This window comes from Homo sapiens, chromosome 8 (assembly GCF_000001405.40).
Source record: "Homo sapiens chromosome 8, GRCh38.p14 Primary Assembly".
Taxonomy (NCBI): Eukaryota; Metazoa; Chordata; class Mammalia; order Primates; family Hominidae; genus Homo; species Homo sapiens.
Window position 1 is genome coordinate 81,631,366 of NC_000008.11, and position 13,664 is coordinate 81,645,029.

Below are 13,664 nucleotides of genomic sequence, written 5' to 3' on the forward strand. Positions count from 1 at the left end.
TTATTCTTCCATTCACTCGCCTTTTCCCATTTCTCTTTCTTTACCCTTTCTCTCATTTTTCCGTAGTACCATTTTGACAAAACACAAATTGGAGATATGACTTCGGTTGAGCAGCTTTTATTTGCCAAAGCATTACCTGGTAAACTTATATTAATTTTTTTTAATAGTCAGTAGCCAGAACTAACTGCCCTTTTTCTCAGTGATATATTTAGATACCACCTATCGAGGACTTACTATGCTTTCAGCAATTGTGTTTTTATATGCATTATTTTTGTTAAACGTTGCCTGAGGTACGTATAATTAGCTTCATCACACAGATGAAGAAACTGAGGCTCAGAGAAGGTAAATGATTTGTCCTCACACAGGTCACAGGTCACACAGCAAGAGCAGAGCAGTGAAACACACTGACTCCAAAGTGTTGGGGCTCAGAAAACGACACCCCAAAATGAAGTCCTCAGAAGCAGCCTCACAGAAAAAAAGTTATTTGAAGCCTCTTGCCTTCCTGTCTCTGGCCCCACATTCTCCCTCAAGGCTTGCCTTAGAAACTGGAATTCTTCTTCCCCAAGGCAGGTCCTAGAAACCCAAAAATATTATTCTAATCTCCCCAATTTTTCGCGTAAAAACAGACCATAAAGAAATTATCCAACCCACTTTTTCTGACTGTAGGTCTCAAGACCCCCATTCCACAGAGGGTCTTGCCCAATGCACAGAAGGAAGGAATGCACCACAGAGAGGCCAAATAAAATCTAAACAGACAGGCTTTGCTGGGTTTCCCCACTCAGTCTATTTGCATTACACTATACACTTTTGGTCCAATCCTATTTCTACACAGCTGGTTATACTTTGTTTGAACCTAAACATAAAAATGGACTGTTCCCCTGTATCTTGGGTCTTCATTCTGAAGGCTCCCATGTCACTTAAAACTATGATCAAATAAATTTGTACCCTTCTCTCCTATTAATCTGTCTTTTGTCAGTTGATTTTCAGCAAGCATTCAGAGAACAAAGGGAAATTTTCCTTTTGGTCCTACAAAAGTCCTCACGCAGAGAATGTACGGCACAAGGAGGTTGCATTATACGAGGTACAAGGACTAGTTTATGGTCCTTAAAATGTTTCCTCTTCTTGAAGGGGCAGCATCGTGGTACATACATCATCATCATGCAAAAACTGTTGCACAGATATAAGATGTCCCAGCCACAGCAGGAACAGAAAAGTGAGCTATTTGGCTCCTTGCTTAGGAAGTGATTGTTTCTCTTCATTTAATCTAAGGACAAGATGTTGTCACAATCATGTTGCCAATGAAACACTTCCCAGAGATTAATGATATGAACTGTGGACCCAATTCCCACACCCCACAAAGAGCAAGAAACTTGTCTTTAATTGTCTAAAGAATGATGCCTAGGTATCTGGTTTGGATATCTCTATTTGCCTATTAAATGATTTTTTGTTTTGTTTTAAAGACAAGCTTTCAGAAACTAGCTATTTCATTCTTCATTGTCAATCATCTTAAAAATCTTGCCAACTGCATGATGACAAGTGTTAATTCATAACTAAATAAAAATTTCCAGGCTTTTGCAGAAATGTCATCCATCATCTTTTAACCTTTTTAAATGAATGTGGTCCCAGTGATTTGGCAAAGCTGCTAAAATCAGTATAATCAATTTGAAGCAAGAGAGATTCAATATCACCTATCTTATTCCTTCAAATGATAACATTTCAAATTACCTGTGTCAGGTGAGCAAGAAGCCTAGTATTTTTCTAGAGACCTTAGCATCTGCCTCACAATTGTTGTCAGGTAACCTAGATTTTTTCAGTCCAAAGAGGCCGTTCTGCTTCCAAATGCCTACTGAAAGTGAAATGCAAAATCTGTCGGTACACAGGGAAGTCTTAGTGTTCAGATTTGATTGTGGTAAAGCTGCAAACTGGTCTCACAAATCCAAAGGATCTTTGGTCCAATATTGTGAAAGTAGTTCAGAAAGTTGCAGAGACCTCAGTACAGGATGCACTACCTCTGAGTTCCCAAAGGGGCAGTATCTAAAACTCTGGTCCCATCTGCAGCCACTGTTCCTAATCCTAAGAACGTCTGCCGTGCCCAGGTGTTGTCGGGGGCAGGGGACAGCAGCACAAACTCTGCTTCCTGGCATGATGTCCAGCTCCTCACTCTTTCAACCTTCCCTAAGGGAAGCTCCCTCTTGGAGGCCTTTGGTATCCTTTCCTGTCAGCTGACTCCCATCTGTGAGAGAGGTTGTAATTACGCTGAACCTCAGAATGAAAGAGAGGTGAGATCCAATGCCCCTGACACCTCCCCAGACAGCTGAGCATACAGAAGAGAGTTCTAGGGAAGGGTGGCCCTGTGAAGCCACAAGAAGGTCTGTTATCCTTTCCCAAAGGCAAGGATGACAGTGCTTACTTGCCCTGTATTTGCATAATAAAGAGAGGCCGCCACAGGAATGAGTGGGCAATTTCCCTCCCCAGAAATCATAGGCATCTTGTCAACTGCACTTAGTCTTTGGAGTTGACTTCTTTTAAATGACCTCTCTCTTCATTAAAAAAAAAGTTTTAGCTTCTACATGCCATGATATTCTCAGTTAATAGTTAATGATTTAAGTGGACTCTGACCTAATATAATTATATATACACCATGGCAGCTGGTCAGGGGTGGAGTGTCCAGGATAGCTAATAAGATCTTACGTTTTGCTACCATAATAAAGTATCATATTCACCTTGTACTCCATAAAACATTCTCAAACCAACACAACTGAAAAGTTACCGCCTTCCTCTGAACTCCTGTGTAGCATTCTACTGTTGGAAGCACTCTTTGGATGCTTAACATTTATGGTGTTGGGTATATATACACATGTATTCTTCCTCACCCCATGTCAACTTTTTTATCAGCTCATAAGTGGCTTATGAATGGACATCATTTTAGTTACTCTTTGACTCTCCACAGTGCCTGAGTAGGAATTCGGCAATGCTTTAATTGTTAAGCTAGGCAATTTCTTTTTCTCTTATCTTCTAAGATAAGGGTACAGCTTTTCTTAGCCTTGTAAGACCAAAAGGAACAGTAACATTTCACATCCAGAACACATGGCTCCTGTAAAAGGAGCCACAGAGGCTAAGTTTGCCTTGGACTTGGAAAAGACAGCTGAATAATGGCCAGGACTAAGAAACTATTTAACAACCAACTTTCAATAGCAACAGTTTTATAAACAAGAAGACACAGCATACAAACTTTAGCAAAAAAGTGCCCAAATGAGAAATGTGAAGCAGGAACTAAGAGACCCAACAAAAGCACCTCTAGGTTATCTGTTTTTAGAAACATTAATCCCACTCTGAAAGTCAAATAAATCCCTATGAACATTAAAATAAAACTCAGAGGTCTAATTATTCTCTCTAAGAAGTTTGCTCTTTCAGGTATTCTACGCTTGATGACTATTTCAACAGATACTGATAAAGTATGAAAAGGAGTGTTGACACAATTTTAGAAATAGGAATATGAAATGTACCTGACAACCCTAATATCTTACTGTATGTGTAAAATTGACAGGCATCGTGATCGGGGCAATAATGTTAATGTGCAAGTCATCAAAATGGCCAATGTGAAATTTCCGTCTAGAAGCAGAGAAAAGAGACAGCCCCCACCCTTCCTGGGCACGTGCAGGTCATTACAAATCCAAAAGCTTGTGCCTCAGGCAATGCCACAATCTGAGACAAAAGAAATCCACAAAATGGCATCAAAAAAAAACTGTGTAACTGCCCCAAGAATTACTGGCAAAGGTCTCTTCAATGCTGTTTGAAACACCTGTAATTCAATATTGCAACTAAATGTGCATTTATTCAACAGTATTAGTAGTAAAATAAGCATTAGGATATTTCTGTCAATATGCATTGGTGCCTGGAGAAGACTGTCTTTTTGTCTGAGTACTTTGACTTTCACATTCTTGATTTCTTTAATGAGTCTTTCTTGCCTACCTTCAGAATCCCAGAATTGAATAGTCACATTTGTTTCTCCTTCTTCATCAGTCACCAGATTTATGGTACAGTTTATAACATATGATGATATCTTCTTGGTCAAATAAAGGGTTCAGTTCATCTATAAAAGAGAGACACTACAAAACTGGATTTAAAAAACAAAGTCCAGCTATATGCTGCTTATAACAGACATCCTAAAACAAACAACACAGGAAAGTTGAATATAAAGGGACAAAAACAAGACATAATAGTTAAATATTCACCAAAAAAAAGCTAGTGAAATGATATTATTATAATTCAAAATAGGATTTAAGGCAACATTCATAAAGAGCATATAAATGCAGAAATTCTATGCACCTAATAATATACTACTCAGCAAAACCATTAGAATTATAAGAATAAAATGAATAAAACCACAATAGTGGGAGATTTTAACACATCTGTCTCAAAAACTGATAGATCAAGTTGACCAAAAACTAGTTAAGTACACACACACACAAGCACACACACATCAATATGTGCATACATATGGACAGAGGGGGACTGCAAATGATAAAACAAACAGGACAAAGGTAAATAATTGGTGCATTTGGGTAAAGTCTATGGAAAAGTTATATGTACTATGTTTGGAACTTGCCTGTGTTTTAAATGGTATCAAAATAAAGATCATAAAAAATCACATCCAAATAAGTAAATTAAAAACAGTAAGTTTCCCATCCTATTTGAGGAATTGGAAAAAGAACATCAGATAAAATCTTTTTAAACAGCAGACAGAAGGAGATAATACAAGGGCAGAAATTGACCAGGCACAGTAGCTCACGCCTGTAATCCCAACACTTTGGGAGGCCAAGGCTGGTGGATCACCTGAGGTCAGGAGTTCAAGACCAGCCCAGCCAACATGGTGAAACCCTGTCTCGAGAAAAATACAAAAATTAGCCGGGCATGATGGCAAGTGCCTGTAATCCCAGCTACTTGGGAGGCTGAGGTGGGAGAATCACTTGAACTCGGGAGGTGGAGGTTGCAGTGAGCCGAGATTGCGCCACTGCAGTCTAGCCTGGATGACAGAGCGAGACTCCATCTCAAAAAAAAAAAAAAAAAAAAAGTAGAAATTAGTGAAACAGAAAGCAATGAAACAATAGGGGAATAAAACTGATATATGTTTCTTTGAAAAGACTGACAAAAAATAAAGATGAACCTCTAACTGTACTGTTTAAAGGGGAAAGAAAGAAAACTACAAATGACAATTATTAAAAATGAAATGGAATGGCTAAAGACACAATAGAGATTTGGGAATATAAGAGAATAACTTGAACAACTTTATAACATCTTTATAACGGATAAACACATGTATTTATATTTAAGTAGCAATTTTGAATCAATTAATACTTGCAGATTTTCTTTCCAAAAAGATAGCTAATGCCTTTCTTTCCTTTTAATTCCTAGTCTTTACTTATGATTTGACCTGAGTAATATAACAATAGTGATAAAATCCCAAATCAGAGGCACCAAAAAATCCCACTTCAATGTCACCTTTGCCAAACTGGCATTTAGGGGGGGCCTTAAAACTTGTTTTTTCTGATGCAAGATTCATATAAAATCTTTGTATATATTTCTCTAAATATAATTTTTAATACATAATATTTTCACACAATTAAAAATGCAGGTAAGTATACAGTAAAAATCTTCTCCAATGTTTGCCTCCTGCTGAGGCAGAAGAATTGCTTGAACCTGGGAGGCAGAGGTTGCAGTTATCTAAGATTGCACCACTGCACTCCAACCTGGGCAACAAGAGAGAAACTCCATCTCAAAAAAAAAAAAAAAAAAAGATGTTATTTGCAAGCCTCATGGTAATTAAATTAAAAAATAAAAAAACTACAAAGTTACACAAAAAATAAAAAGCAAGAAATTAAAACATGCCACCAAAGAAAATCACTTTCATAAAAAGGAAGACAGGAAAGAAGGAAATAATGAAGAGAAGACCACAAAACAACCAGAAAATAAATAAGAAAATGACAGTATTAAATCCTTACCTATTAATAATAACATGGGATATAAATGGACTAAATTCTCCAACCAAAACACAGAGACTGGCTAAATGGATGTTTCAGTATACACTATCATTCCGTGTGATAAATCATATCAACACAATGAAGGACAAAATCATATGATCATTTTAATTGATGCTTAAAGGCATTTGATAAAACTCAACTATAGGCACCTACATCAAAAAAAGTGAAAAAACTTCCAATAAACAACCTAACAATGCATCTTAAAGAAGTAGAAAAGCTAGTTCATGATAAAAAACCCTCAAAAACTGGGTACACAAGGAACACACCTCAACACAAGAAAAGTCATATATAACAGACCCACAGCTAGTATCAGTCTGAATGAGGAGATCTGAAACAAGAATGCCCACTTTCACCACTATTATTCAATATAGTACTGGAAGTCCTAGCTAGGAGCAATCAGACAAGAGAAATAAATAAAGTGTATCCAAATTGGAAAGAAAGATGTCAAATTATCCTTATTTGCAGATGATATGAACTTATATTTGGAAAAACCTAAAGACTCCACCAAAAAACTATTCAAACTGATAAGCAAATTCAGTAAAGTTTGAGGATAGAAAATCAATATACAATAATCAGTAGCATTCCTATAAGACAACATCAAACAATATGAAAAAGAAATCAAGAAAGTGATTCCATTTATAATAGCTACAAATAAAATAAAATACATAGGAATAAATATAACCAAAGATAAGGACAATCTCTCTGTGAAAACTATAAAACATCGATGAAAGAAATTGAAGAGGACACAAAAAATGGAAAAATATTCCATGTTCATGAATTGGAAGAAACAATATTATTAAAATGTTGATGCTACACAGAACAATCTACAAATTCAGTGCAGTCCCTATCAAAATATCAATAACATTCTTCACAGAAACAGAAAAAAAAAACTCTAAAATTAATATGGAACCACAAAAGATCCAGAATAGCCAAAGCAATCCTGAGCAAAAATAACAAAACTAGGGAATCACTTTACCTGAAAATTAACTACAGAGCTATAGTAACCAAAATAGCATGGTTCTGGCATAAAAACACACAGATAGACCAATGGAACAGAAAGGAGCCCAGAAATAAATCCATATATCTACATAGAACTCATTTTCGACAAAAGTGCCAAAAATATATATTAGGGAAAGAACAGTCTCTTTAATAAATGGTGCCCGAAAACTATATTCATATTCAGAAGAATGAAACTAGATCCTTATCTCTTTCCACATACAAAAATCAAATCAGGCCGGGCACGGTGTCTTATGCCTGTAATTCCAACACTTCAGGATGCCGAAGCTGACAGATCACATGAGGCCAGGAGTTTGAAACTAGCCTGGCCAACATGGCGAAACTCCATCTCAACTAAAAACACAAAAATTAGCCGCATGTGGTGGTGTGCCACTGCAATCCCAGGGAATGGGGTGGCTTAGGCAGGAGAATCACTTGAACCCAGGAGGCAGAGGCTGCAGTGAGCCAAGATCACACCACTGCCCTCCAGCTTGGGCAACAGAGCAAGACCCTGCCTAAAAAAAGAAAAACAAAATCAAATCAAAATGGATTAAAGATGTAAATCTGAGACCTCAAGCTATAAAATGGCTGACAGAAAACATTGGGAAGACTCTCTAGGAAATTGGTTTGGGCAATGATTTCTTGAGTAATACCCTATAAGCACAGGCAACTAAAGCAAAAATGGACAAATGGGATCATATCAAGTTAGAAAGCTTCTGCCCAGCAAAAGAAGCAATCAACAAAGTGAAGAGACAGCCCACAGAATGGGAGAAAATATTTGCAAACTATTCATCTGACAAGGGATTCATAACCAGAATATATAAGAAGTTCAAACAACTCAAGAGGAAAAAGAATCTAGTAATCCTATTTTTTAAATCGGCAAAAGATCTGAAAAGACATTTTCAAAAGAAGACATACAAATGGCAACCAGGTATATAAAAGTGCTCAATATCATTGATTATCAGACAAATGCAAATGAAAACTACAATGGGATACCATCTCACCCCAGTTATATACTTTTATCCAAAAGACAGGCAATAATAAATGCTGGCAAGGATGTGCAGAAAAGGCAACCCTTGTACAGTGTTGGTGGGAATGTAAATTATTAATACAGCCACTATAGAGAATGGTATGGAGCTTCCCCAAAACACTAAAATAGGGCTACCAAATGATCCAGCAATCTGACTGTTAGGCATATACCCAAAAGAGAGGAAATCAGCATATTGAAGCAGTATCTTCACTCTTAGATTTATTGTGGTATAATAGCCAAGATTTAGAAGCAAATTACGTGTCCATCACCAGACAAATGGATAAAGAAAATGCAGTACATATACACAATGGAGTATGATTCAGCCATAAAAAAGAATAAGATCCTGTCATTTGCAAGAACTAGAGGACATGGATGGAACTAGAGGACATTATGTTAAATGAAATAAGCCAGGCACAGAAAGACAAACTTCACATGTTCTTACTCATTTGTGGGCACTAATAATTAAAATAATTGAACTCATGGAAATAGAGAGCAGAATGATGGCTGGGAAGGGTAGAGGGGAGGCAAGGTGAGTGGGGATGGTTAATGGTACAAAAATATAGTTCAATAGAATAAATAAGATCTAATATTTGATATCACAATAGGGTTACTTCAGTCAACAATAACTTATAGTACATTTTCAAATAACTAAAAGTGTATGACTGGAATGTTCTTAACACAAAGAAATTATAAGTGAGGTAATAAATGTCCCACTCACCCTGATGTGATTATTACGCATTGTATGCCTACATCAAAACATTTCATGTACCCTATACACGTATATATGTACTATATACCTATAAAAATTAAAAATAGAAAAAAATTAAACATTTTAAAATGAGAAATATGATAAATCCAGAAAAAATACATTTTATTGTAATAATATATGATTTATTTTCACACTATTACACTAGCAGCAGATGTCACTTTTTCAGATGGCCTTTGTTTCTCTGCCATACTCTCTTGTTTGTGCAAAGACCAACCTAGCACCCAACAGTGTCAAAGCTAAATAAATGTTTGTTGAATGAAAAAAAAAAAGAATACACCAGGTAGTTCCTCAAATTTATTTGACCATGGAGGTAATGTTTTACGAGCTTCTGTCTAGAGAGCCTAATTCTCAACAGAACATATTTAGGGAAATATTGGCTTATAGTATTAAAAACATAATTCAACAAGTAATTATTGAGCATGAATTATATTCTAGCCCTATGGCAATCATTCCATGCTTATAGAAAAGTAGACTAAAGTCCTCATTTCAAGTAGTTTGCAGGCTCTTGGTAAATAAACAACAGGAAATATATAGCAAGTCACAGCGGTTTACACAGAATATAAATGAGCATTTGCCTGAGACAAAACAATTATTTAATATTCAATATAGAGTCTGACATATTTATTCAATGCAAGTGTCCATTCTGGTGACCAGTCACAATTTCATTTTTAAGGATGTAAAATATTTAATAGAGGAGAAGAATCCTTTCTTTCAGTCTAAAGTGTTCCCCAGTGAAATTTGAATTTTACTGTTTCCTCCTCCCACAGAATTGAATAAAACAACTGCCTGACTAAAGAGGAGGTATCTTATGGTTTAACTGATTAAAGCTCCACTACCAAAATAGGGGGAAAAAACAATCTCTAGAAACAAGTTTCAAATTAAAATAGGTGTTTTGGACTTTTTTATTCCTCAGTTTTTTTCAGCCATATCATAAATGTTTAGATTGACAAATATGATCCAAGTAAAATCATCACATAATGATCCCCTTAAAACAAATGTCATTTTGTACAGTTAATTTTTTATTATTCTTTGGCACCTGCTAAGCTTCTTTCAAATGAAAAACTATACTCTTGCTGGCACGTTACTGGTGTAATGTCCCGAAATATGTTAATATTATTCATGATTTTGTTCTTAAGTACATTTTAACTGAATTATCTTGAGTTAGGATATAAACAAAATGACTATGACAAATAAATGTTTGAAAAAAGAAATTGATGTAATTTCTTTAATGTTTATTCTTCTATTACAAAGTTTGAGGAAATATAAGAATCACATTTTCATCATTTCTTTTCGATACTATTTATTTTTTATCTGAGACCATTTAGTTTAACCATCTGCCTAAATCAAAATGTACAGGATAGGTCATTAGGTCTACTCGTTGTTCCATTAATCATCATTTTAAAACAGCTTCTGCCGTGCTTGGGAAAGGCTGACTTGTGTTAAGTAATATACGCCCTCTAGTGGATGAAGATGGAGAAGAAAGTATTTGAGTTTTTCACTTAGGGCTAGTTATGAGTTCAATTTCTGAGCACTAATTCTGTTTTCTAGCTTGGATTTCCCCAAAAATGTAACACTATGAGTCAAGTCATGGTGGCTCATGCCTATAATCTCAGTACTTTGGAAGGCTGAGGCAGGAGAGTCGCTTGAGGTTAGGAGTTCCAGACCAGCCTGGGCAACATAGTGAGACCCGATCCATACCAAAAATTAAAAAATTAGCCAGGTGTGGTGGCACATGCCAGTAGTCCCAGCTACTTGGGAGGCTGAGACGAGAGGATTGCTTGAGCTCAGAAGGTTGAGGCTGCAGTGAGCCATGATCCCATCACCCACTACACTCCAGCCTGGGCTACAGAGTGAGACCACAATCTCGAAGAAGAAGAAGGAGGAGAAGAAGAAGAAACATTTTGTTATGTTAAATTTACAAAGGCTCCATCAAGTAGTGTATGAATTTTCCTTGTGGTTTAATTTCATCTCCGTTATTGTCTTTTTGTGCCATCATGGTTCTCTTCATCTTTAAAGTCAGCCAACAAATATTTATTGGATGCCTGCCATGTGCCAGGCATAGCTCTATGCACTTGGGATGTAGCAGTGAGTGAACAAAACAATTTGAAATCCTGTAATTGTAAAATTTAAAACAATATCAGATAATGATCATTGTGTGGTTCCTACATACCAGACCACATAGTTATTTGCAATTATTATTGAATCGAATGCCCAAGAACCCTGTTTAAAAACTGAGGAGCTTAGGCTGGACACGACAGCTCACGCCTGTAATCCCCGCATTTGGAGAGGCTGAGACAGGCAGATCATCTGAGGTCAGGAGTTCGAGACCAGCCTGGCTAACATGGCGAAACCCTGTCTCTACTAAAATACAAAAATTTGCCGGGCGTGGTGGCGGGTGCCTGTAATCCTGGCTACTAGGGAGGCTGAGGTGGGAGAATCACTTGAACTTGGGAGACAGAGGTTGCAGTGAGCCAAGATTGTGTCATTGCACTCCAGCCTGGGCCACAGGAGCAAAACTCTGTCTCAGGAAAAAAAAAAAAGAAGAAGAAGAAGAGGAAAGAGAAGAGAGAAGAAGAGGGAGAGGAAGGAGAAGGAGAAGAAGAAGAAGAAGACAACAACTCAGGTGCTAAGACACTTGCCAAAGATCACACAGAAAATCCGAAACTTGTGGCCTTGTTTTGAATTTTATTACGGTATTTAAAAACTTTTCCCCTGCAGCTAAAGTGTATGCTCCATGAGGGCAGGGACGGTATCTACTTGTTCATCACCATAACCCTGGGACCTGAAACCTGCCACTGGGTTCTCCAGAAATATCTGGTTAAATGACTTAAGGATAATGAAATAAATGAGCAGAGAGCTGAACTCTGGACTAATTGACACCAAAGCCCTTCTCACCAATGTCTCTACTGCCTGCATGAGTGTCCAGAAAACAGGAAGCAACCCCTTACTGGATGGCTCAATTGAATTATTTCAGAGCTATATGTCGGTTCCACTTTTTTAAAGAGTAGGAAAAGAAAATGAGTCTAAAATGAGCAAGATCTGATTATTTAGAAGATTTAAAAATCTTTGGCCGGCACAGTGGCTCATGCCTATAATCCCAGTACTTTGGGAGGCCGAGGTGGGCGGATCACCTGAGGTCAGGAGTTGGAGACCAGCCTGACCAACATGGAGAAACTCCATCTCTATTAAAAATACAAAATTAGCTGGGCATGGGGGTGCATGCCTGTAATCCCAGGTACTCGGGAGGCTGAGGCAGGAGAATCGCTTGAACCCAGGAGGCAGAGATTGCGGTGAGCCGAGATCACGCCATTGCACTCCAGCCTGGGCAACAAGAGCAAAACTCCATCCACCTCAAAAAAAAAAAAAAAAACAAAAAAAAATCTTTAAGCAGAATCTCCTTTGCCAATTCTCCTGAGTTTTACCACTAGAGAAAACAGGGAGAAGCCAAAGTGCCTTCACCCATGAAGGAATGTATTCCCCTTAAAGGGCCATTCATGCTCTTGGGCTGGAGAGTGGAGCTGGACAGAATTGAGCTTCCCTTTCACTTGCTGAGAAACCTGCTGTGAGTAGCCTCTCATGCCAGTATAAATGGGTTCATTTCCATGGTAATATTTTGTTATGTATTTTATAGTAGTTATTTCCTTGATCATTATATGCTCTATACCATTATTTGCCACTAACCTGGTGACTTAAGAGTACGATAGCTGTCGTTCAGATTTATTAACCTTTCTTCGTATGTTTGAAAGTCATTATGAGTGTACTGGCTTAAGCTAATAGCAGATTAGTAAATATTGAAAGAGTCATCTTGCCATTTGAAGTGTTTTCTGGCTAGAATAAATGTTTGTTCAGGTTGTAGCCCTGCCCAGGTAATCACCAGGTAAAAATACAGGATCAACTTCCAGTGCTGGAACAAGCAGGATAAATTACTAGGTGCAGGAATGGGTTTTATGGTGGCTCTCTCTTAACCTATTATTTAGGTTTATATTTTAAAGGGGAATTATCTATGCTTGCTCCTATTACACTGGACAGAGTAAAACAAACCAAAAGAAGGAAACAGAACAAAGGTTACTTCAGGACAATAGTTATAAAAATAAAACCAAACAGGGTGATCCCAAATATCACAAATCGGGAGGCCTAGCCTGTCATCCAAACTTTATTACAATCACAGGGGTGGTTCTCCTCTCCTTGTTAAGTCTTTTCTGTATGACGAGTTTTGAAAGATAAATTTGCCAATTGATTCCTTGCAGTTCTTCCTTCGTGTCACCTGATTGTTTTCTCCATAGTCAAATTGTGCTCTTAATTGATAACCAACATCTTAGGTCAAGATATCAGTTCCTGGTGGGTTTAAATGCTTTCAGTCACTTTTATTTTTTATTTTTTATTTTTTTATGATGGAGTCTCTGTTGCCCAGGCTGGAATGCAGTGGCTCTATCTCGGCTCACTGCAAGCTCCACCTCCCAGTTCAAGCAATTATCCTGCCTCAGCCTCCTGAGTAGCTGGGATTACGGGCACCTGCCACCATGGTCAGCTAATTTTTTGTATTTTTAGTAGAGATGTGGTTTCACCATGTTGGCCAGGTCTCGAACTCCTGACCTCAAGTGATCTGTCCACCTCGGCCTCCCAAAGTGCTGGGATTATAGGCATGAGCCACCGTGCCCAGCCTCAGTCACTATTTTTATTTTATACATAACAACCTCCCTGACAAGCCTTTCTTCAAGAGGATGGATCCACACTAAGATCCTCTAAGGAGGATCTTTTACCTCTGATCTCATCCTTTTGCACTTCTGCAATCACCTCTTTTCCCATAGTGTCAACTATCACCTCAGCA

General features: G+C 37.6%; 1 pseudogene; it reads right to left on the bottom strand.

Moving 5' to 3' along the window:
- Nucleotides 2,959–4,077, bottom strand: SLC10A5P1 (SLC10A5 pseudogene 1; annotated as a pseudogene).